The 26,900-nt window shown below is 36.3% G+C and overlaps 1 protein-coding gene across 35 annotated transcripts in view, besides 1 other annotated feature; it reads right to left on the bottom strand.

Annotated features, from left to right (window-relative positions):
• CCSER1 (coiled-coil serine rich protein 1) overlaps positions 1–26,900 on the bottom strand; it is a 1,477,902-nt gene that overhangs the window by 1,396,461 nt on the left and 54,541 nt on the right. The gene's annotated exons all lie outside the window — the stretch shown is intronic.
• Positions 23,781–24,284: an enhancer, noted in NCBI's record as "OCT4-NANOG hESC enhancer chr4:91105702-91106205 (GRCh37/hg19 assembly coordinates)". NCBI's record gives its function as "activates a minimal SCP1, AML or CMV promoter by ChIP-STARR-seq in primed H9 embryonic stem cells {active_cell/tissue: H9 hESC(primed)}" and the evidence as "EXISTENCE:reporter gene assay evidence [ECO:0000049][PMID:30033119]".

The following is a 26,900-nucleotide window of genomic DNA, read 5'->3' as shown; positions in this document are numbered from 1 at the left end:
GGTGCAGCCCACGGAGGGCGAGCTGAAGCAAGATAGGGCATCACCTCACCTGGGAAGCAAAAGGGGTTGGGGAACTCCCTCCCCTAGCCAAGGGAAGCCAGGAGGGACTGTACTGTGAGGAACAGTGCATTCTGGCCCAGATACTATGCTTTTCCCAGAGTCTTTGCAACCCACAGACCAGGAGATTCTTTCAGGTGCCTACATCACCAGGGACCTGGGTTTCAAGCATAAAACTGGGTGGCCGTTTGGGCAGACATTGAGCTAGCTGCAGGAGTTTTTTTTCATACCCCAGTGGTGCCTGGAATGCCACCGAGACAAAACCGTTCACGCCCCTGGAAAGAGGGGCTGAAGCCAGGGAGCCAAGTGGTCTAGCTCAGTGGATCCCATGTCTACAGAGCCCAGCAAGCTAAGATCCAATGGCTTGAAATTCTTGCTGCCAGTACAGCAGTCTGAAGTCGACATGGGACACTTGAGCTTGGTTGGGGGAGGGGCATCTGCCATTACTGAGGCTTGAGTAGGCGATTTTCCCTTTACAGCATAAACAAAGCTGCTGGGAAGTCCGAACTGGGTGAAGCCAACTGCAGCGCCACAAAACCACTGTAGCCAGACTGCCTGCCTCTCTAGATTCCTCCCCTCTGTGTAGGGCATCTCTGAAAGAAAGGCAGCAGCCCCAGTCAGGGACTTATAGATAAAACTCCTATTTCCCTGGGACAGAGCACCTGGGGGAAGGGGTGGCTGCGGGCGCAGCTTCAGCAGACTTAAACGTTCCTGCCTGCAGCCTCTGAAGAGAGCAGCAGATCTCCCGGCACAGTGCTCAAGCTCTGCTAAGGGACAGATTGCTTCCTAAAGTGAGTCCCCAACCCCCATTCCCCCTGACTGGGAGACACCTCCCAGCAGGGGTCGACACACACCTCACACAGGAGCACTCTGGCTGGCATCTGGCGGGTGCCCCTCTAGGACGAAGCTTCCAGAAGAAGGAATAGGCAGCAATCTTTGCTGTTCTGCAGCCTCTACTGTTGATACGCAGGCAAACAGGTTCTGGAGTGGACCTCAAGCAAACTCCAGCAGACCTGCAGCAGAGGGGCCTGACTGTTAGAAGGAAAACTAACAAACAGAAAGAAATAGGATCAACATCAACAAAAAGGACGTCCCCACAAAAACCCCAGCAGAAGGTCACCAACATCAAAGACCAAAGGTAGATACATCCACAAAGATAAGGAAAAACCAGCACAAAAACGCTGAAAATTCCAAAAACCAGAACGCCTTGTCTCCTCGAAAGAATCACAGCCCCTCGGCAGCAAGGGAACAAAACTGGGTGGTGAATGAGCTTGACGAATTGACAGAAGTAGGCTTCAGAAGGTGGGTAATAACAAACTCCTCCGAGCTAAAGGAGCATGTTCTAACCCAATGCAAGGAAGCTAAGAACCTTGAAAAAAGGTTAGAGGAATTGCTAACTAGAATAACCAGTTTAGAGAAGAACATAAATGACCTGATGGAGCTGAAAAACACAGCATGAGAATTTCATGAGGCATTCACAAGTATCAACAGACAAATCAATCCAGCAGAAGAAAGGATATCAGAGATTGAAGATCAACTTAATGCATCATAATGACAGGATCAGATCACACATAACAATATTAACCTTAAATGTAAACAGGCTAAATGCCCCAATTAAAAGACACAGACCGGCAAATTGGATAAAGAGTCAAGATTCATGGGTGTGCGGTATTCAGGAGACCCATCTCACATGCAAAGACACACAACAGGCTCAAAATAAAGGGATGGAGGAATAATTATCAAGCAAATGGAAAAAAGAAAAAGAAAAAAAACAGGGGTTGCAATCCTCGTCTCTGATAAAACACTTTGAACCAACAAAGATCAAAAGAGACAAAGAAGGGCATTAAATAACGGTAAAGGGATCAATGCAACAAGAAAAGCTAACTATCCTAAATATATATGCACCCAAAACAGGAGCACCCAGATTCAAAAAGCAAGTTCTTAGAGACCTACAAAGAGACTCAGACTCCCACAAAGTAATAGTGGGAGACTTTAATATTAGACAGATCAATGAGACAGAAAATTAACAAGGATATTCAGGACTTGAACTCAGCTCTGGACCAAGCAGACCTAATAGACATCTACAGAACTCTCCACCTCAAATCAACAGAATATACATTCTTCTCAGCACCACATCACACTTATTCTAAAATTGACCAAATAATTGGAAATAAAACACTCCTCAGCAAATGCAAAAGAATGGAAATCATAACAGTCTGTCAGACCACAGTGCAATCAAATTAGAACTCAGCATTAAGAAAATCACTCAAAGCCACACAACTACATGGAAACTGAACAACCTGCTCCTGAAAGACTGCTGGGTAAATAATGAAATTAAGGTAGAAATAAATAAGTTCTTTGAAACCAATGAGAACCAAGACACAACGTACCAGAATCTCTAGGACACAGCTAAAGCAGTGTTTAGAGGGAAATTTATAGCAGTAAATGCCCACAGGAGACAGCGGGAAAGATCTAAAATTGACACCCTAACATCACTATTAAAAGAACTAGAGAAGCAAGAGCAAACAAATTCAAAAGCTAGCAGAAGATAAGAAATAACTAAGATCAGAGCAGAACTGAAGGAGATGGAGACACAAAAAAACCCTTCAAAAAATCAATGAATCCAGAAGCTGGTTTTTTGAAAAGATTACAAAATAGATAGAATGCTAGCCAGACTAATAAAGAAGAAAAGAGAGAAGAATCAAATAGACACAATAAAAAATGATAAAGGAGATATCCCCACTGATCCCACAAAAATACAAACTTCTATCAGAGAATACTATAAACACCCCTACGCAAATAAACTAGAAAATCTAGAAAAAATGGATAAATTCCTGAACACATACACCCTCTCAATACTAAACCAGGAAGAAGTCAAATCCCTGAATAGACCAATAAAAAGTTCTGAAATTGAGGCAGTAATTAATAGCCTACCAACCAAAAAAAGCCCAGGACCAGATGGATTCATAGCCGAATTCTACCAGAAGTACAAAGAGGAGCTGGTACCATTACTTTTGAAACTATTCCAAACAATAGAAAAAGAGGGACTCCTCCCTAACTTGTTTTATGAAGCCAGTATCATCCTGATACCAAAACGAGGCAGAGATACAACAAAAAAAGAAAATTTCAGGCCAATATCCCTGATGAACATCGATGCAAAAATCCTCAATAAAATATTGGCAAACTGAATCCAGCAGGACATCAAAAAGCTTATCCACCACAATCAAGTAGGCTTCATCCCTGGGATGCAAGATTGGTTCAACATATGCAAATCAATAAAGTCATCCATTACATAAACAGAACCGAAGACAAAAACCACATGATTATCTCAATAGATGCAGAAAAGGCCTTCATACCTTTCTGCTTCAACACCCCTTCATGCTAAAAACTCTCAATAAACTAGGTATTGAGGGAACCTATCTCAAAATAATAAGAGCTCTTTATGACAAACCCACAGCCAATATCATACTGAATGGGCAAAAGCTGGAGGCATTGCCTTTGAAAACTGGCACAAGACAAGGATGCCCTCTCTCACCACTCCTATTCAACATAGTATTGGAAGTTCTGGCCAGGGCAATCAGGCAAGAGAAAGAAATAAAGGGTATTCAAAAACGAAGACAGAACATCAAATTATCTCTGTTTGCAGATGACATGATTGGATATTTAGAAAACTCCATCATCTCAGCCCAAAATTTCCTTAAGCTGATAAGCAACTTCAGCAGTCTCAGGATACAAAATCAACGTGTGAAAATCACAAGCATTCCTATACACCAATAACAGACAAACAGAGAGCCAAATCTTGAGTGAACTTCCATTCACCAATTGCTACAAAGAGAATTAAATACCTAGGAATACAACTTACAAGGGATGTAAAGGACCTCTTAAAGAAGAACTACAAACTTCTGCTCAAAGAAATAAGAGAGGACACAAACAAATGGAAAAACATCCCATGCTCATGGATAGGAAGAATCAATATCATGAAAATGGCCATACTGCTCAAAGTAATTTATAGATTCAATGCTATCCCCATCAAGCTACCATTGACTTTCTTCACAGAATTAGAAAAAACTACTTTAAATTTCACATGGAACCAAAAAAGAGCCCACATAGCCAAGACAATCCTAAGCAAAAAGAACAAAGCTGGAAACATCACACTACCTGACTTCAAACTATACTACAAGGCTACAGTAACCAACACAGCATGGTACTGGTACCAAAACAGATATATAGACCAATGGAACACAACAGAGGTCTCAGAAATAATGCCACACATCTAGAGCCATCTGATCTTTGACAAACCTCACAAAAACAATCAAAAGGGAAAGGATTCCATATTTAATAAATGGTGTTGGGAAAACTGGCTAGCCATATGCAGAAAATTGAAACTGGACCCCTTCCTTACCCCTTATACAAAAATTAACTCAAGATGGATTAAAGACTTAAATGTAAGACCTAAAAATCATAAAAACTCTAGAAGATAACCTAGGCAATACCATTCAGGACACAGGCATGGGCAAAGACTTCATGACTGAAACACCAAAAGCAATGGCAACAAAAGCCAAAATTGACAAATGGGATCTAATTAAACTAAAGGGCTTCTGCACAGCAAAAGAAACTATCGTCAGAGTGAAAAGGCAACCTACAGAATGGGAGAAAATTTTTGCAATCTATCCATCTGACAAAGGGCCAATATCCAGAATTTATAAGGAACTTAAACAAATTTACAAGAGAAAACAAACAACCCCATCCAAAAGTGGGTGAAGGATGTGAACAGACACTTCTCAAAAATAGACATTTATACAGCCAACAAACATAGGAAAAAAAGCTCATAATCCCTGGTAATTAGAGAAATGCAAATCAAAACCACAATGAGATACCATCTCGTGCCAGTTAGAATGGTGATCATTAAAAAATCAGGAAACAACAGATGCTGGAGATGATGTGGAGCAATAGGAACGCTTTTACACTGTTGGTGGGAGTGTAAGTTAGTTCAACCATTGTGGAAGACAGGGTGGCGATTCCTCATGGCTCTAGATCCAGAAATACCATTTGACCCAGCAATCCCATTACTTGGTATATAAAGGATTATAAATCATTCTACTATACATACACATGCACACGTATGTTTATTGCAGCACTATTCACAATAGCAAAGACTTGGAACCAACTCAAATGCCCATCAATGATAAACTGGATAAAGAAAATGTGGCACATATACACCATGGAATACTATGCAGCCATAAAAAGGATGAAGTCATGTCCTTTGCAGGGACATGGATGAAGCTGGAAACCGTCATTCTCAGCAAACTAACACAGGAACAGAAAACTAAACATTGCATGTTCTCACTCATAAGTGGGAATTGAACAATGAGAACACATGGACACAGGGAGGGGAACATCACACACCGGGGTCTGTTGGTGGTGGGGAGCTAGGAGAGGGATAGCATTAGGAGAAATACCTAATATAGATGACAGGTTGATGGGTGCAGCAAACCACCATGGCACATGTATACTTATGTAACAAACCTGCACGTTCTGCACATGTATCCCAGAACTTAAAGTCTAATAAAAAAAGAAAAAATCATCAACTACTTTATCATAAACGATTAAATATTTAAAAGTAGACTCATGTGACAAATCATGATAGTATCTGTGTCTACATTGTGAATATGTACAGAAATCATAGTTGTTTCTTGAGACAAGGTGTAGGCATGTACCTTGTGAGTGTTAAGTAATTATACTTTTTTAAAACTGCTGAAAATTTTACAGTTTACTATCATTTTTTGAAAATCAGTTAAAAATACATGGATAATCAAATACAGATTGCAAATATTCCTGGACATTTTAACAAAATAATATTTAATGAGTTACAAACAAAGTACTGTGTCTACTATTTATCAATTTATATGAGCCATTAGAAATCACATAAGCAGCTGTGGTTCACGAAAAATGCATTTCTATAAATGAGAAGAAAGGTAGTAATTTCAGTGAATAAATGAATAAATCTCATCACCTAAATGTGACGGACTTGCCATGTAATCAGAAAGACAGAATTAGAAAGCATTCCTAAATTGTGGAAGCAGTGATAAAACACTCTTCAAATATATCTTACACAGACTTCTGAAAATACAAAATGCATTAGAGCAGTGCTCTCAAGCCTATATTCTATAGGATACCAGATCCATCAACATTAACAGCAGTGCTGTGAAAATGAGACCCTTAGTCCAGCCAGTTTGGGAAGATTGTAATAAACAGAATTTAAACAGTTTATTTACGGCGGGTCACAGTGGCTCATGCCTATAATTCCAGCACTCTGGGAGGCCAAGGCAGGTGAATCACCTGAGGTCAGGAGTTCGAGACTAGCCTGGACAACACGGCAAAACCCTATCTCTACTAAAAATACCAAAGTTAGCCAGGCATGGTGACGGGTGCCTGTAATCCCAGCTATTCAGGAGGCTGAGGCACAAGAATCGCTTGAACCTGGGAGGCAGAGGTTGCAGTGAGCCAAGATAGCACCACTGCACTCCAGCAGCTTGGGTGACAGAGCGACACTCAGTCTCAAAAAAAAAAAAAAAGTTTTACTTACAGTACATCCAAGAATCCAAGAAAATGTAGTATGTCAGGGTTCATTATGAATCACCAAAAAGAGTTAGTTTTTGAAACATTTAAACCAAAGAATTAGACTTTCATAATATCTTGAAAGATTACTATTATACTTAATTAATACCTCTTTGGAAATACTGTGTAACCTTATGGTTTTGTCCAATGTCCTTGGGAAAAAATATTAAGAATAACTAATTGGGTACTATACACTCCTTAAATTATGTATCAACTTTCCTTAATAGTAACCTGAAGTATATGATAAACTGGTAACCTGTTCAACAGCTGGAACTACTATGATAATCTTCAGTAAACAGTGTTTCAAATCTGGCATTCCTCCTTACTATTATAAACTCCTGCCCTCCATCTACACAAATTCTACACAACTTTCATGACCCAGAACAAGTGTTGCATATACTATACACCTCTTCTCTTTCTCTGAACATCTGTAATTCTAACCTTATCCTGAACTGTTCAATACAGTAGCCTATAGCCACACATGGCTATTGGTGCTTTTAAATGCATCTTGTCCAAATTAAGATGTTCCGTAAGTGTAAATACACACAGGATTTCAAAGATTTAGTATAAAAATTATAAATGTCTCAATAATTTTATATTATGTTAAATTATAATATTTTAGATATATTAAATTTAATACATTTATTAATAAAATTAATTTCACCTGTTCAACTTTTTAAAACTATGGCTATGAGATAACAAAATCACACATGTGACTCACATATTTTTACAGAATGGTCTTGGCCTACATTATGCATTTTACTCAATTATATAACATCTTGTGCTAATTTTATAATATCTTTGCTACCTTCTTTTCCTATCACTACAGCATGTTCTTTAAGAGCAAGTGTCTACAAGATATATAGAACCCAAAAAAGTTTACGTAATATTCATGCAAAATAAATACGCTGATTTATTGCACCAAGTAAAAACTGAATTATTTATTTTAATTGTAAGCTGGTTCTGAAATGAGAGTTTAATGTGTATATTTGCCCTAGGAATGGTAAGGAACAGCCAAAGCTGTTTCTGCAATTCTATTTGCATGTGAAGCATGCACTCTAAGAATTGGCTTATTGAGGGATTTTTGTCTACTCTTCTTCTCATATTCCTGGACAAGGTTTGGAAGACATTATGGACTCTATTTTGAAAGCTTTCTGGAGTGTCTCTTTGGGATATCTGCATATATGATACCATAAATGTTAAATAAAAAATGCTGCTGATTTCACCCACATACTGAAAGTCTTGAAGACAGGAAGTATTTCCTATTCATCTCTACATTTATAAAAAGCATCATTATACATAGTACATAGGAGCTATATAAGTACTGACAATCTATAAAAAACAAAAGTTGACTGTTTTTAAGGATGCTAAGGTAGATTAGTAGGCAATCTATTATGCACATAATATATACATTATGTATATTATTATGTATATAGTAAACTAGTAGGTAATCTTTATAAGGTCTCTTGGTAATATGTTAAACAAAAACCCTTGCCAAGTCAAATTATGTTTATTAATACACTCATCTATTTTTTAGGCTACTGAAAATCCTAACAGCCGTAATCTTATCTGTTTCCTAAGGAATTACCATAACTTCATAGCAGTTAAGTGCTGAAAGCTCTAGAATGGCCATTGTTCATAAGCAAAGAGGGCTTTGCTGGGTTTTTTTGTATGATTTTCTAAAAAGTTTTTTAGAAATTTTTTTTTAGCTGAAAAAATCCTCTAAATAAGGAAAAATATCTCTTGCAGGTATCAAGATATTTGTGTGCCCATTTATTATTCTGGGTTAAAATATTAATTTTGCTCTCTAGGAAAAATAATGTAGTAAGCCATTATTAATTACATAATCCTCAGTAGAATTTAGAGGGCAGTCTCAGAAAGAATTAAATATGAGGCAGGAAGATTCTGCTTACTTTGAGAAAATATTTCAGGTGTGGGATGGTCCAGAGACATGTACTCTGGGAAGGAGATAACACAATATGCCATCATGACTTCAGGTTTTAGGGAACTGGGTGCTACTAATTAGGCTAACAGCCTAATTAGGCTAACAGCAGTCAGAAAAAAAAGTGTGTGTGTGTGTGTGTGTGTGTGTGTGTGTCTGCGTGCACGCATGTCAGGGAGTGGAGGGTGCCTCCAGGGTAGGGGATCGAGGAAATGTTAATAATGTAATGGGAAAAATATTGCATTGGAGTAAACACCATAAATTGGAACCTTAACTCTTCCACTTAATTGCTATGCAATATTGGGCAAACTTCTTTAGCGAATCTAGGATTGCTTTTCTGTGAGAAGCAAATATCAAGTTTGTGAGCATTAGCAATATTATATGTAAGGAGATGGGCACATCGACATGCTTCAAAACATAGTAACTATTAAAATTACCATACATGAGTGTGAAAAAAACACAAAATCTATTGTAACCCAAACCCACTAATTTTATAAGTGCCAGGACTTGATGATCCCATGGTTCTGAAGAAGGATTATACCAGATTAATTAAGCACTGATTAGCTAAAGTCTCTCTCCATACATATTTTTTTTCTTCAGTCAATTTTACTTTCCTTGAGAGGCAAAGGAGAGAACTGGAAGAGTAAGTTATGTACAGTTGGGTTTATGTACATTTTTAATTATACAATAATTTGTTTTATTACAGAGTTGGAAAAATTGTTTCATGTTAACAAATCATTACCATAATAGCAATTATATTGACTTTGATTAGATGTTAGATAGTATTTGATGGAAAAACAAAAGGGGTAATGAAATGATTAAATAGGATTTTCAGCAAATATTACCAGAATTTGTACATGTTCTTCATTTAGAGAAAAAGTAAATAACAAGTAGAGGCCCATTATAGCCTGTAGATCAATTCTGCTATTCTAATATTAATAAAATGTTAAAATATTTATGGGCTTGGCCTATAATATTTTAATTGAGTATTCTGTTACAATACCCTTTTTAAAAGTATTTAAAGTATAGAAATCTCAGAAGAAGATTCCAAATTACAAATCTGTTTCAAAATCACTATTTGCAAACCTAAAGACTGCTGACCAGCTGGGTACAGCAATGGGTTGGTTTCTTGTTACAAAAGATTGGGATAATCTTCGAGTCTCTGTGTATCAGACGCTTGAAAATGTATAGCAGACAGGTAAGGAGATTAGTGAAAAGATTGACAATTTGTTTTTTCATAAGTGAAAGATGAGTCTGTTGAAAAAAAATTGTTTTAAAGTTGTAGCCAAAACTGATACTTAGCTCAAAGACAGTCACAATAAATGTAAAGATTTGAATAATCTAAAAAGTTTCAAAACATTTATATTAGCATAACTATCCTATTCATGCAAAGCTTTATAGAGATTTCTGAAAACAATTTTTATTGATTCTTCATCACTTTTTTCAAAGAAGGTGCTCTTTTTGGACGGATGGGTTTGCACATTATCATCGAAAGGTCTCTTACAAAATTGATTTGAAATAGTTCTTTTGAAATTTAAAGGTCAGGAAGCATCCATTTTATTGCTGACTATAGACAAAAGTGAATTGAAGTTTTCTGCAAAAGCTGAATCCTTCCAGAGTTGAAATTCACCAAGATGAAGTTCACCTAAAATTTCATGTTCAAGTCTTGATTTGCAACATCAAGGGTCAAAAAGTATTTCACCATGATACAGAAAGTTTAAAAAAAATCTGTTTCTATTCCTGTTCTTACATAGCACCAAACCTAGCACAGCACCAAATACTGTGATATTGTGATATAAGAAATGTATATTTGGTGTCTGCCTCTGGTTCCTGGCAAATAGTTTCTAAAACCCTTGGGATCTACAAGCAGTGGTATCTTTTTCATGCTGATTAGATGACTAATCAGCATAGCCTGGATAGCCTCAGGATGGGGGAGTATTTGCCAGGGGAACCAGCCATATGATTAGAAAAAGAAAGGAACTTTCATTTCCCACCCACCCACACAACTTCAGGGGAAGGAAGAAGGAACAAAGGTTGAGTTGATCACCAATGGCCAATGATTTAATCAATCATGCCTAGGTAATGAAGACTCCAAATAAACCTAAAAGGGCAGATTTCTATATTTTAATTTTTAACTTTTAAATTTTTGTTGGTACATAATAGGTGTATATGTTTATGGGGTACATGAGATGTTTTGATACAGGTATGCAATGTGAAATAAGTACAACATGAAGAATGGGGTATCCATCCCTTCAAGCATTTATTCTTTGTGATACTAACAATCTAATTTACTCTTAAACAGTTATTTTCAAATGTATAATTACTGACTGTGAGCACCCTGTTGTGCCTATAGTCAATAGTATGGCTTAGTCATTCTATTTTTTTTTTTGTAACCATTAACTGTCCCCACCTCCACCCACCTCCCACTACCCTTCCCAGCCTCTGGTACCCATCCTTCTACTCTCTATCTCCCTGTATTCAATTGTTTTGATTTTTAGTTCCCACAAATAAGTGAGAACATGTGATGTTTGTCTTTCTGTGTCTGGCTTATTTCACCTAACATAATGACCTCCGGTTCCATCCATGTTGTTGCAAATGACAGGATCTCATTCTTTTTATGGCAGAATAGTACTCCACAGTGTATATGTACCACATTTCCTTTATCCATTCATCTGTTGATGGACAGTTAGGTTGTTTCCAAATCTTGTCTGTTGTTAAGAGTGCTGCAACAAACATGAGAGTGCAGTTATCTCTTGGATATACTGCTATCCTTTCTTTGGGGTATATACCCAGTAATGAGATTGCTGAATCATATGGTAGGTCCAGTCTTTAATTTTTTGAGGAACCTCCAAACTGTTCTCCATAGTGGTTGTACTAACTTATATTCCCACCAACAGTATATGAGGGTTCCAAAAAAGATGGATTTCTGAGAGTTTCCAGGTTGCTCAAATTGTGGAGCTGCCTGGACTGTGGCACCCCTTCTACCATACCTTAACCTATCCATCTCTTTAATCTGGCTAGTCATCTGTATCCTTTATAATATCCTTTATAATAAATGGGTAAAAGTAAGCATAGTGTTCTGAGTTATGTGAGCTGATCTGGCAAATTAATGAAGCCCAAGGAGGGGGTCGTGGGAACCCTAATTTATAATCAACTGGTCAGAAGCACAGATCTCAACCTGGGGCTGGCAAGTGGCATCTGATATAGGGGTAGTCTAGTGGAACTGAGACCTTAACCTGTAGGATCTGACACTATCTCAAGGTACATAGTGTCACAGTTGCATTTTAGGACACCCAGCTGGTGTCCAAAGGAAAACTGATGGCTTGATGTATGGAAAAAACCCACAGATGCATCTGGTTTCCATCTGTTCGGGAGAGTAGCAAAAACACTTGCTTTTCCTATCCCTAATAGTTATATTAGCTCATATTTCACTGTCATTTCTGTAAAATGTTACAGTTATTTCAAAAACTCTAATGCTTCATATACTATTGCTTGAGCAATAGAATGTATAAGACAATGAGCTAAGATTGTGTGTGTGTGTGTGTGTGTGTGTGTGTGTGTATCTGAGCAGGAAAATTATTAGGAAATGCTCTTGAAATCAGTATCTATGGGGAAAGGGAATAAAGAAGGATTAGGCAGAAAGGTGCAGTATCCAGAAAGACTCCAGCTCTGGAGCTGAGAGAGCCTGGGAGAGTTTGCCCAAATTAAAGAAACAAGGCTGGGCCCTTATACTCTTGTGTATTTTGATGTGGGCTGGCCCCTGGGAAGCGGGTATGACACTGGGCAAGGCAGCTGACTTCAACTGAGTGCAACTCCTGGAGATAAGTGAAGGATAAAGGCTGTCAATCAGTATCCCACTATCTGGAAGTCTCGAAAAGGATCTGGACAGTACGTTACAGACTCTAAGTAACAGAAAACCCAACCAACTCTTGCTTAACAAATAGCTAATTTTTTCTCACTTAACATAAGGTCTGCAGTGGAGGATTGCTGGCATTCACATTTGCCCCCTTTATTAGGAGAGAAAAAAGCTTTCTCAAAAGCATCCATTAGACTTCCCTTACATTTCATTGACCAGAACTGGAACACACCACCACACCTAGTTGCAAAAAAAAAAAAAAAAAGCTAGGAAAGTGGAAATAGGATTGTTACCATTTTGTGCCTGGAGCAGTGGACACTGCTACCCTGAACAATATCTGGGTTTTGTTAGCATACGAGAACAAAGGAAAAGATATTGGGAATTCAACTGATGGAATCTGCCACAAAACAGAACTCTAGAAAATTACTTCGAATACTTTCACATGGATATAACTTACTGAAACACTGCCCATATTGCTGGACATTTTGATTGTTTCCAACAGTTTGCTCCTATCCACTGTGTTGAAATAAATATTGCTGCCAGCCCACATCCTCATTGCCTTAGACTAAAATGCCAAACGTAGTTTCTGGGAAGAGAGAATTATCTCTTTGTTGACATGATAATTAATTTTTAACAGATTTTATTTTTTAGAGCAGTTTTAGGTTCACTAAAAAATTGAACAGAAGTTATAGAGATTTCCCATATACCCCCTGCTCCTACACATGCACAGCCTACATTTACACATCATTATCACCCAGAGTCTGAAATTTCATTAGAGTTCATGCTTGGTCTTGCGTATCCTATGGGTTTGGACAAATTTATAATGACATGTATCCACCATTATAGTATCATACAGAGTAGTTTCACTGCCCTAAAAATACTCTGTACTCACCCATTCAGCCCTTCCTCCCTGGATATCCCTGGAAACCACTGATCATTTTACTGTCTCCATAGTTTTCCCTTTTTCTGGACTGTCATATAGTTGAAATCATACAGTATGTAGCCTTTCCAGATTAGCTTTTTTCACTTAGTAATATGCATTTAAGTTTACTCCACCCACCACGTCTTTACATGGCTTGATTATTCGTTTTTTAACACTGAATCATTCCATTGTCTGGATGGGTCACACTTAATTTAACCATTCACCTACTAAGGAACATCTTGGTTCCTTCCAAGTTTTGGCAATTATGAAAAAGGCTGCTATAACTATCCATGTACAGGTTTCTGTGTGAATACAAGCTTTCAGTTCCTTTGGATACATTAATTTTTAAGCTTCCCTTTTATTGAAATATGACAGGAATGTCCATAAATTCTTGATTTGAGATAATTCATTAATTTATTACTTTAAGGTGATTACACAGGCAATGCAAACTAATTCCTTCATTTTCAACCTTTTTTATATCTTACATGAGAACATTTTCTATATTTCTGAAACTCACAGAACTTAATACACTTCAAAGAAAATATTTTTGTATTTTCTTCAGAGGAGTTACAAGGACTACAGTAAGAGTATACTCATTACTTCCTCTTATGCTATTTAAGTGTTTTTCTTTTTAATTTCTTCTTGGTTTAGCTAGTCAGCTCATAAAGCTAGCATGTTTTTTTCAATTTTTGGGAAACAAAGTGTGCTTTCTTTAAACAATCTATCAACTTGGGCCTTCCAGCTATCCACAGGGATTGACAGGTGGTAAATTACTTGGATCAATTAATACCACAAAAATGAGATCAGATATTTGATAATTCAGTAAGTTTTATATTTACATGGCCAAATTTGTATACACACAGTACAAAGTTATTTTCCAATATTCAGACTTTAAATGTTCTAATATAATTAAAGAATCATATGTTTTAAAGCAGGCGAAAATAAAAAACACCATGAAGTCTAAACCTATCATCACTGAAGTATGGCATATAAGACAGAGTGTACCTATCTGATATATTTTCATAGATAATTACCATTAGTAAAGTTCAGAGTTCATAAATAACAAGAGCTGCCAGTTACTGAGCATGCTTTGTATGATAGATACTATAACAAATGCCCTTCAATCATAATTTCATTTAATCTTCATAACAGCTGTATGGCATAGACAATAGTATGCCTACTTTACAGATAAAAAATCAAGGCTTATGTTAAATAAGTTGCACACAATTAAGTTACTAACAAGTAACTGGGCTGCAAATCTGATCTAGGCTATTTGTGCCAAACTATAACCTTCTAACCATAATATCACTGCCCTAGACTAGTAATCAGGCAGCTCTTGTCTTTCTAAGGCACTCTATTGTGACTGCCTATCAACTGGACCTACAAAGACAAGCCAAATTAATACATCAACATATTTCAAAAGAACTCAATGAATTTTAGCTGAATGAACAAAGAAATGTTTACTAAATCTACAATTGATACAGCATATTTAAATGACCATCTTGCCCACCAAATATGTTAAATAGAGAATGAAATCAAAGTCCCCGATTTCAAAATTTCTAGTGCATATTTTTACCTTTAGCTTCCTTGTTCTAGGCACTAGACTAGCAGGATTTATTAAAAGCATCAATAGATATTTTCTTCATCTATGTTTTAACATGTTTTTTCTTTTTTATCAAATGAGGTACATGTTAAGAATACACAGTTGTCTTCCTGCAGTTAAAAGTGTTCTAAGCTTTTTAAGGACCGCTAGCTTAGGTGGAATATTAGTGTTATCATGTAAAAATAATGTTAAGTGGCTTTCTCAGTTTGCATCCAAAGGAGTAAAACTACAAACGAAGTAAAAAAAAAAAAACTAGGTAATATGGTGCTCAAGTGAAGTAATAACTTTTAAGAATATGTATCATAATTGTACAGTTTCCCAAGTTGTTTCTATTATTATCTTAATCTATAAAACAACCCAATGTACAGAAAACTGTCTCCAAGATACCCTAACTCTTTTGTATTCATACTTAGCTATTCAATTCCAAATTCAATATCCTTGCCACTCTACTAGGGAATGATCTTCTGGGTACTATAATATGTGAAGTACGACCATAGATTTTTCATTCTCTTAGCAACTCTATATATTTATTGAACACTATGTGCCAGGCACCTGTTATGCACTTGAGGTCTGTGTGTGAACAAGACAAAGTGGTTCCTGCCTCCAGGGTGGCTAAAAGAAGCTGGGTCTCTTATACATGACTCTTAGAATCAGTCTAATGGTTCAAAATTATTTATTCATGGTTACTACACATGCAATTTTAGAATATCAGATTTTACTCTTTCAAAAACAAACTAATCATGAACATTAGAAAATAACATGTTGCTACCACGGATATGTAGGACTTGCTCCTGAGATTCTCAATGGGGTGTCACAGGCATGCTGAGGTGGTAATAGGAATCCTAATAAAATTTATTTTAAGATTCAGTTATATGTGGGGCACAAGCTGTTCTCTGGAAAGGAAAGAAAAATTGTTTTTTGTTCCTGTTTTTAGTTTAGAGATGTAGCATGTCTACATACTTTTGTGACACAAGGGAAAATACTGGTGGCATACTTTATTAAATTGTTCCTACTGCCTTATATTCACACCTGATCCTCTAAACACAACACACAAATTTTTTTACTAACTTCAGTCCTAGCTAATCACCTCCCATTCAAAAGAGGAATTTTACTTTTATCTATTGTATTTCAGCCAATACACTACTGGCAATATAAATAATCTTCATTATTAACGGTTATGGGCCAGGAACGATGCACTAGGTGCTTTACATATTTTTCTTCATGATAATTACTATTATCCCTATTTGTCATATAAGAAAATAGTCTCAATGAGGGTAAATGTCTTTTACAAGGTCATACAACTACTGCACGGCAATGGTCGCAAATCCAGGACTTTGTGGCTCCAAAGCTGAAATTCTCAACCACTAGTGAAATATTGCTTCTCATAATAAAAATGAACTAAATGTCTACTGAATACATTGCAGAGATGTGCCTTTCATTCTTGTGTCACAATGACATGGTTTGGCTGTGTCCCCACCCAAATCTCATCTTGAATTCCCACGTGTTGTGGGAGGGACCAGGTGGGAGGTGATTGAATCATGGGGCAGGTCTTTCCCATGCTGTTCTCATGATAGTGAGTGAGTTTCACAAGATCTGATGGCTACTGTAAGGGGGAGTTTTCCTGCACAAGCTCTCTTTGCCTGCTGCCATCCACGTAACATGTGACTTGCTCCTCCTTGACTTCCACCATGATTCTGAGGCTTCCCCAGCCACGTGGAACCATAAGTCCAATTAAACCTCTTTCCTTTGAAAATTGCCCAGCCTCAGGTATGTCTTTATCAGCAGCGTGAAAACGGACTAATACACACAATCTCTCCATTCTGTAATTTTTATGCCTTTGTAATTAGTATGAAGTCTTTTATATGTTGTTTTTAATAAGTACAGGGTAAAGTGACAGCAATTTTACATAAGCTAACTCAATGCAATGTCTCTAGTATATAGTAGAAAACTTCCACATTCTAAAAGTCACAGATTAACACATTATACCATACTGTTGGGTATTTTTTAATTACTGCTTTACTTTTATTTGTCTGCACACATCAAGGAAAACGTAGATTTCTTAAAGGCAAGGATTATTGTGAAGAACTGTTCTTGTCTTATGCTTCTACTTTCCATAGGAAACCATTTCTTCTCCTTAGGAGAGGAGACTGTTGGAAAACATAACTATCAGCCCCTCTCACTATCTCCTCACAGCTCCTTCTCCTAATATATCTGAGTATCCAGAACTCAAGATGCTGCAGGGACCCCTGCATAAGTGAGTTAAAGGTTAGTTTCCATGCATGGTACACCCACTTGTCCTCTTTACTGCATCTCACCCACACTACTGGTATAGTGCTGTCTCTCTCCCTAGCCTTTCCACTTCTTGGTAATTTGGACTTGACTTCTGTCTTATGCATAAATTACATGATCTTGACCAACAAAGGGCCAGGCCAGCTTGGCACTAGGAACTGGGGGGCAAAAAACCTCTTTCTGACCATCTATCTCATTCTCCGTATAAACTAGTACATGTGCTTCACACCAGGTTTTATACCCCCCGCCCCCATACTCAGATTGTTACAATGCAGTTATGAAATGGCCCGAAACACAGGGAGAAAGAAGACTCATCAATTCTTCTGCTAAAAGCAGCATCTGTCAATCTCTTCTCTGGGGAGTCCTGTGTTGGGAAGGTTTGCCCAGCCCTTTCTTCCACTTTTTTATAAACCCTACAAGAACCTAATGCATTATGAACAGAAATAATCACTCAATCAAGCTAGTCCAAAGAGAAACAAGAAGTTATAAGGCAAGGTAAAGTTCCTTAAATATTTTTAGATATGATAGTAAATTGTCATTAGATTGTTTTGACTTTTTAAAGAACATAGCATAAACTTTGAAGCTCTTTTCCAATTTGTGTTAGCTATTACATATAAAGTTTATATTTCTGGTAATATTTTTATGTCATATGAGCAGAGTTTCAAATTTTCTATTTTCAAGTTGCTGCTGATGATAATAACCATTTTGTTCCAAGTACTAGGAAGAAAACCTTGGTGCCAATTAACAGCTGCACCTAGCATCTTGCCCAAAGAAGTGTTCCTTCCTAATCACATAAAAGAGCTGACTAGGGATGACAAAGTAACCAGATGGCAATTTGGCAAAGGCAACAAATGCAGGCCAGAACTGGCCTTAGGGCAAGTGGAATCCTATCACTATTGTCTGGGAACAAGTGGCCAAGAATAGCCTGTCTTTTAAAGTTTGTAAATTTATGTTTGTTATCAAGCTCACATACATACAAATATTCACAAATCCATGAAAGCCCCGGTGGTGTTAAAATGTGAGGAGGAATATTTGAGAGCTGAAAATGAAAATGCTTTGTCCTTTAGTGTAAGTAAAAAAGTAGCAAAGATTTGTAAGCAATTACATGCATCCTGATGAAATCTCTATTCTGACCTTGACCAGTTTTTTGTGGATAATTTTACCAGCAAGAAACAACTACTGTGTTGGTTCTTAAAACAACAATGTACAATTCTTTGAGCTTTCTGTACAATGCCTGTCCCAGGACTCATGACAGAGCAGATTATACTTTTCATCTTGAATGCAAATATGCCTGAAAATGTTCATATTTATTTTTTGGGAGGACTCCTTTCTCTAGTTAGCATCTGACCCAGAGCTGGATGGTTGAATTCATTATTCTAGATGCGCCTGCTAAGTCACATGGCATTTCTGTACTTCAGTTTCTCGACCAACTGTAGTTATCACGCCTCAGAGCCAAATCACAATGCATAAATGTTTAATCCTCTGCAGTCTCATGCCGCTATCAGAATGACTATGCCAGAAAACCTTTTATTGTTCCACAAACAATAACAAAATGCAAGTAGATATTAATTCTATCCCACATCTTCCTTCTCTACTGGTATCTGTAAATATCCTGGGTCTCCAAACTAAACTATATGCTTTACACTTCTTTCTCCTAGTAAACAACAAAACTCATACTATATTGAAAATATGCCTTTCACCTCTTACCACAATATTTAAAGTTAAACAGACACACATAGCTTTTCTGTTAAGAAAATATCAGGGATAAAATTGTAAGAATGCTTAATGAAGAAACTAAACGTTTAAGAGCTCCATGTGTTGGCTATTCAACTGCAAAAGTAAATAGGTATATGTTTTTGTATATAAGGCAAATACACAGAGAAAGGTAGAAAAAACACAAATTCTGCAGGATATAACAGGATAAGAAAAAAGGAACATTACGAATATTAAACACAACGTCTCTATGGTATATATATGTATATATACATACATATATACACACATCTATATATATACATACATACACACATCTATATATACATATATACACTAAACATACTTGCGCACATCCATATGCTCAGTGCACGTCATAAGCCAACTGTCTCAGACTTGGAATTACAGAGCTGCAAGGGGCACTGAGAGGTCATCTGAGGAGATCCTTTCCTTTAGGCAGTTTAATGCTTAAACCATCCAAAGACCTGACTATCTATTCTATATTTAGAACTCTCTAGGGTTGGGGATTCATTACAGACCACATTGTATTGTACTTGTAATAGACTCAGAGGTGCCTTTCTTGACAAAACCATATTTCACAGATCCTTGGTCTGACGGGCTTCTATGAGTACCTTCTAAATACATACTTCCTTCCTTCTCGTGACAACATGGCAGCTAAAGGACTTAAGTTTTACATGAAAACGCAGTCAAAGAGTTTAAAAAATACAGACCTGTACATAAAAATGACCTTAATTTTTGCAACCCTGCTGTCAGCCACAGTATAGCCATCCATTTCTAAAGCCCCTGGGCTAGCCCTAGGCAAAAATATAAAGAAACTACATTTTTTCATATCTACACCCCTCAAGTCCTCTTTATTGTGTGTAGCAAACTTCTCTTGCCATTAGTTACCAATGCTTAATCAGGTTCATCAGATTTTTTTCTATTCCCATAGTAATAGTCTCCTATCCTAATTCTTATTCACTCAGGTCACTTCTCTTTGAAGAGTGTTAATATGAAATATACTAATCCAGGATAAATATGCAAATATGGTTGAAAATGTTCATATTTATTTTTTGGGAGGAGTCCTTTCTCTAATTAGCATCTGACTCAGAGCTGGATGGTTTAATTCATTATTCTAGATGCGCCTGCTAAGTCACATGGCATTTCTCAGGATAAGATATTAAGAAGGAGCTAATGGAGTAATATTAACATTTCACAAAACTATAGTTTCTAGTTGTACTAAAACTTAGTATGTAAATTTAGTATGTAAAACTTAGTATGTAAGACTTAGTATGTAATTGGTATACATACTAAGAAGTCCAGAAAATAATTGGTTTTGATATTTTCACATTTCAGCATTTATTTGGTAATCTTCTAAGTAGTGGCTCTGCAAAATTCAACCCTACTTTTAAACTCTTGGAAGACTTCTTAATATAAGACTACAATGATAGAAGCTACATTAAAGTCTTATTCACAAAGAATACTGAAAAATATATACTGATAATAAAACAGTGAAGATATGACTGCTACTATATATTTTTTTAAAAAATCCTTTAACTCCACTATCTCAATGTTGAACTTAAATAAAAATAAAATTAAAAGATACCCTAGAGGAATATACATTAGTGCCCATACCTCATAACCCAAGCAGGAATGTGAAGTTGGTGGTATGGGATGAGCAATGGAGAAGAGTGGAAAGTGGGAAGAATAAGTAACAGAATTTAAAGAATTGTTTAAACACGTTTCTTTTGCCAAGAAATACTACTACTTAACTGCTTCAAAAAAGTAAACCAATCTAAAAGGAGGCAATGAATATACGTGGTAGGAAATTGAAAAGCTTTCTTTCAGCCATGGTTTTCAGTCTCAAGAGCACAAAGAGCTGAATTTTAGCCAATTTTCTGACTGTTTTTTTGTTGTTGATGAGCTTGCTTTTTCTTCTGCAACTGTTTCTAATGTCTTCCAAAAAGAAAGGACGAAATTAACTCTTTTATTTGAAATTGTGTATCACATGATCAGTAATTACAGATACAAAGCCTTTTCATCTTTAAAAATATCACCAGTCCTTCAAGACACTATATTCATCTGTGGTGTTTACTCATATTTATCATTCTCTCCCTCAAAGCAAAGTGAGACAGAATAAGAGGAACCAAAGTATTATAAATGACATTTTTTAAAATAGCAAATAGATGTTATAAATAGAATGTCATTTCCAGTGCAGATTTCTTACAAATGTCTTAAGCCAAGTTTAGAAAGCATTCTTCGCTGTGGCTCAAAAAAACCCTAAAATTTTAATTGTAGCTTCCACAGCAGCCAATTAGAGAATGTCATGGTTCGATGGTGCCAGGATATGTTTATGAGTGTTTAGTGGATACAGAATTGAGTTTGTGTGTGTGTGTGAGTGAAATCCGATAAGGGAGGTAATTACCATCTACCACAAGGTATGATTTCAACGGTGGCCAAAAAAAAAAAAAAAAAATAGCTACTGTATTTTATCAAATCTACAATGTCATTGATTTTAAGACATATGATTATTTTATGCATCACTAAGAATGAAATAAAAAATGCCTCCAATCTATGATGCAGTGTTTTTTAATCACACCAATTTTAAGAATGCATTCTTGTTCTCAGAGATGTTAAAATGTGAAAAAAAAATCTAACATGGTATTTCTCCTAAGTGATTTGTCAACAGGTTTTGGATACTCACAGAGTCATGTCTTTAAATAAGGTTAGGATTCTAAAAAGCCCTTTTAAAATGCAAACATTTTACCCAGGAGGTGCAGCACATTAAGCCATTAACAGTCATTAAGATGCATTAATCTATTAGCAGTCATTAAAACTGTAAAGAATATTAATTTATCAGATTATCACAGCAAAGATGAAAGGGAAAAACGATGCAGAAAAAGATACCAAGAAAGGGTAGATGCTCAACTTGTACACTTTATTAGGGTGCAACACAAAAGAGGCCTTGGTTACACTACACCATGGGGGGGAAAAACCAGGAAATCACAGGCAGCAAAGTGACAGTTTATGGACACAAAGCACAGAGAAAGAGAGGAGCAAAAAACAAACAAAAAAATAGAAAAGGAAAAAGGTACACTTTACAGTTTTTACCTATATTCTAACCTAAAGACAAATTAGAGATTCATAGGCTAAAGGAGGTACCTGTTAAGAAATCACATTTCTATTAAGGCCTCAAGGAATATTTAAAATGGGGATTTCCTAATGATAGTTGTAAGTATACATTTCGTTATACAATATCATCATATTGGTAAATGATAAGTACTTTGTTCTCTGTACTGAGAAGCAGTTTACTCATTTATGGTTTCTAATTCATATGTTATGATCAGTGACACCTTTTCTCTCTTTAAGGCTTCAGACAGACACTGATGTAGATGAAAATGAATCACAGTATTTGCTTTTGATACTAAGAGCAGGGTTCAAAAAGTCACCCAGGGTTAAACATCTTAGGTTTTATAAACAGCTGTGCCACTGATTTCCTGCAAGACCTATTGAAATGATTTAACCTTATCCCACAGGAGTATAAGAACCTGACACATATCTCTTGAGGGTGGCAGTAAGCACTTTTATTTTATGAGAGAAGGGACACATAAAAATATGTAATGTGCCTGGGACCTAGAGCAAGTCTCTTAACTCTTTGGCTGCCTCATATCTAAAGTAGAACTGCCCAAAGACAGCATCCTAACCAGATTATTTCTTGGTGATCAAGATCCAAGATTTATTGTTCTGTTCCACTCCTAGACAATGCAAGATAGTTGAGAGCTGTTGAATACATTATTCCCTGAAAGTAGGCAATTTTGTAACTCAACATGAAAATGCTTAATTGTGAGGAACCTAATGTGGCACAATATGAATTGCAATTCAATTCAGTGAACGCACTGAACACCTGCCATCAAAAAAGTACCATGTTATCTGTGTTAGATTGGTCTCTAATGAGGGATGTAGTAATCCTTTGTGAAAACAAAATATCTTCCATTGATAATAATGCCTCACTTCCTTGAAATTGTTGTAGAAAGCACAGATAAATATTTTAAATTTAATTACATATTCAATTGTCAAAATCATTTCATTGTAGACATTTTCAGTAGAGAGATTTATATACTGTATTCAAGTATAATCCATTAAACAAGACTAATATTTTGCTTGAGGACTGGGGACATTATTCATCTCCATCCCTCTTGTCTTTCAGAATGGAAGGGCATACAGATAACAGTGGCATATGTTTTATGTCAGCACTTCCTCCTTATTACTTTATTATCAGCACTGGTACCTTCTTTAGGTCTCAAATGAGATGCTTTCCCTAATCACAAGGCAGACTTACTCCTCTGTTCATCACGTATCCATATTGTACATTTGACTTCTTTTTCAAAGATCAATATTGAAAATCAACATTTAAAAATTATTCATTTAATCATGTTTCTCATGTCTGCCTTTCAAGTACTCAACTAGGGAGGAGGCCATGTTCATTCTTTTACCTCCCATGAGTGATGACAACTTTTATCTCTATAATAGTAGGCTGCCAGAGAAACAAATCAGTCAATAATATGTAGGAGGTCCTCAGAAGGCATCTGTTGAATGAATGCAGGTTGAAATAAAGGTCCAGGGAAATAAAAAGCAGTTTCTCCTCACCAAAGATTGTAGATCCCTAATCCGCACATATTGTGAAGGTGTGAATGTACCTTCTCATGCTCTCTTCAGGTCGTTCCTTCACTCAATACTGCTGACTCTCAGATACAACAGCGAGTGACACTGATGGGAATACTGTCCTCACATGGGCTAGAGACGGATGGTGATTATCCTCACTCCTATTCCCTAGGTCAAGGTAATCCAAATTCTTGTCAAAACCCTAAGGAATATGGAAGTTTTGGCACAGAGGCAGGAATTGTTCCTTTCTTTTGTATCCAACTATGTAGAAAATCTAGAACTGCAGCAGTCACTGTCATTTCAGGCTGGCAGGTAAAGCACACTATTCCTTTAGGTATGGAAAGTTGCATTTCCTGTTCTCCCCTCTCTGCCCTCACATTGTCTCCACTAAGATCATCACCACATTGCCATTCCTTGTTTCAGAGTTCACACTTCTCACCCCAGGAGTCCAGAAACTATGCCAAGTGTTTCACACCATCTGCAGGCTGAGCAAACACTTTACCTGGTTAAGTTCAGAACAATTGCACCAAGTTTTCACTTTTCTAGCAGTTAATTTGAGTTGTATGTTTAAAATGTAGCATGCTCTCATTTTTATTCGATTAATAAAACCTTTCAATAAAATACTGCTACATGTTCAGTCTGTTGCACTGTCTCTTCAAAATATCATTTGTCTGAGGTTCTACTATCAGCTTCCCTACCCTCCATGCTCCAGCAATATTTTTTAATGGACACCTAGGTACAACTCTCTAAAGAAAAATTTTAAGAAGTCAGTCAGATCTTCAGCCATCCCCACCGAACATTTTGGTGTCACTTAGAAACTTACTCTTTGGTGCAAATCTTTCTGCCAACTCCCAACAGGGGCTGCTGACAGATCAAGATGCTATGGGATTGGCCAGTACTGTGTTTTGCTTCAAATGAGAGCCTTCTTGTCTATTTCTTTTTACCTCAGTATTGTGTTGTCTACTCTGTAACATGACAATCAACTAATGTAATAATAAACTAGGCACAAACTTGTCACTTTCGAGCCATGGCAAAATGTCTTACAGGTTTCAAGACATATATTCACAATTTAACAGAATCTCCTCCCCTAGGTGCTATTTCTAGACTAGTGCTAGATACTTCAAGCACACAGCAGTCACTGGGGAGATATTTCCATTTTGATATGCTTTATGATATTTCTCATAATACTGTTTTCTCTTTGTAGAGGGGGGCACAAGCAACATACATCTAAAATTTTATGGTATTATTTATTTATTTGTCCACCTTTAGCTGACAACTTATTGTATAGATAAAATCTAAATGAAACTTCTCAAATTAACAAATAATTACTCTAAAAAGGAAGTTCACTCAAATATTTGGGAAAATATCCTTCAAATATATTTTCTGCAGTGAACTGAAATTGTCCTTAACACTGCCAGATTGTGACAATAGAAAGAATTTAATTTACAATGATTACTAGTGTTGTCTGTACAACTGCCTTTGAGGTAAAAAATCTAGTCAGAGAAAAAGCTCAAGTCAGACTATAGCTGAGTGAGTACCTTTTCAGAGTTATTATAACATAGTTCATTGTTCATTATTTGTTCCACTATCACATGCATTCTTGCACGAGTGTGTGTGTGCATGCATGTGTGTGTGCACTGTGGGAGAGCAGCACTGATAGCCCTTCGTAGGGAAAGTAAGCAATATCAAAAGGACTCCACCCAGAGGTAACTTCACTAAGTTGTTATGATTCCAATCTCATCTGCCAACCTCCCCACCCTTCTCCTTTTATAAAATGCAAATAAACCATTATAGACTTTGTACCTAAACCTTTATCAGGTTTCACTGGTAGTAAGGAATTAGTTATTACCCCTGCAAGATGGTTAAAACCGGATACAGGGTTGTGTGTGTGTGTGTTTGGAGGTCATAGGGTGATAGGAATTATATGAATGGGAGGAAAGCTAACAAGGGAATTAAGACAAATTTCATCTACTCTGTAATTTTGTTTATAAAGAATAATGAATATTTTACTCAGCATCATCTTTAGATGGCATCATTTAAATATTTCCTCAAGGTCTACCAATTTTTCAGAAGTTTTCTATTTCAGAATAATTACAGAAAAATCATAATTTATGTTTCTCCTTATACCATTATACCAATTGAGAAAATTGAGGAGATAAAACTGAGATAAAAGAGAAAATAAAAAATATTTTTGTGTGTAATTACAAATGGATGTCCTTCATTTCAAAAACAATTTAAAATCTAATATAATTTAATTAAATATAATTTTATTAAAGCAAATATCAGTAAAAAAATAAAGGTAATACCCTTTATTAAACCATTTTTTAAACTGTTCTTCCATTCAAGTGTCAGAGACAAATGCAATTTTCCTTCTGGATAAAGGTATTAGTTAGGTGTACATTTCATCAAAGTGTTAGGTGTAATATTTACTTTTTCAAAAGTCAATCTTTCCTCTGAGCTTCTATTGTTTCCTTAAATTTTCCTTTCCAAAATAGAGGGGAACTACTTTTACTAAAAATTATTCAATGATACAAAATTATCTGCAATTGCCTAAATAAGAAAAGCTTTAATAATTAGTCAATTCTTTTCCTGAAAAATTAGCCTCAGACACTGTGGCTGTTACCATTATCCACATGTAACTCTCTGATAATATAACAACATATCCTGTAATGCTTCCTTCACCACTGAATAAAGCAAATTGACTATAATATCTAGAGAGACATCGGTAAAGAATAACACAAAGACTGGTCCTACTGCTTCTGGGCTAACAACAATGAAAAACAATAATTGCTCTGATTGAACCAATTTTGCTTCCTAGAAAATTCCATTCATCATAATCATACATAACCTAATTTCTATTTTTTAGGTCAAATAAAATGAGTCAAATCAAAAACAACTGTATTCTAGTGTTTCAAAACCATAACTCTTATTTTCCAAAGTATAAGAAGTCATATTTCATAATAATTAGACAAAAGCAATTCAATTTCACCCTAAATTTAAGAAAAAATATAAAGTTAAAAACAATTTATTTGTAGTACATAATTAAAGTTATCTTTAGGGTTTTTTCCAACATTAATATAAAAACCTTTTTCTCAAAAACATCTGAGCATCAAATCATTCTTCTTTTCCTCCACACAAATTAACTGTGCCCACAGCCTCTACGTACAACTAACCAGTTATTGCCTTTATGACCTCTTACTGTATCCCAAATCCTATGACCCAAACCATCCTCCATTTT

Source organism: Homo sapiens, chromosome 4, assembly GCF_000001405.40.
Source record: "Homo sapiens chromosome 4, GRCh38.p14 Primary Assembly".
NCBI classification, from domain to species: Eukaryota; Metazoa; Chordata; class Mammalia; order Primates; family Hominidae; genus Homo; species Homo sapiens.
This window is presented reverse-complemented; position numbering and strand designations above follow the sequence as displayed.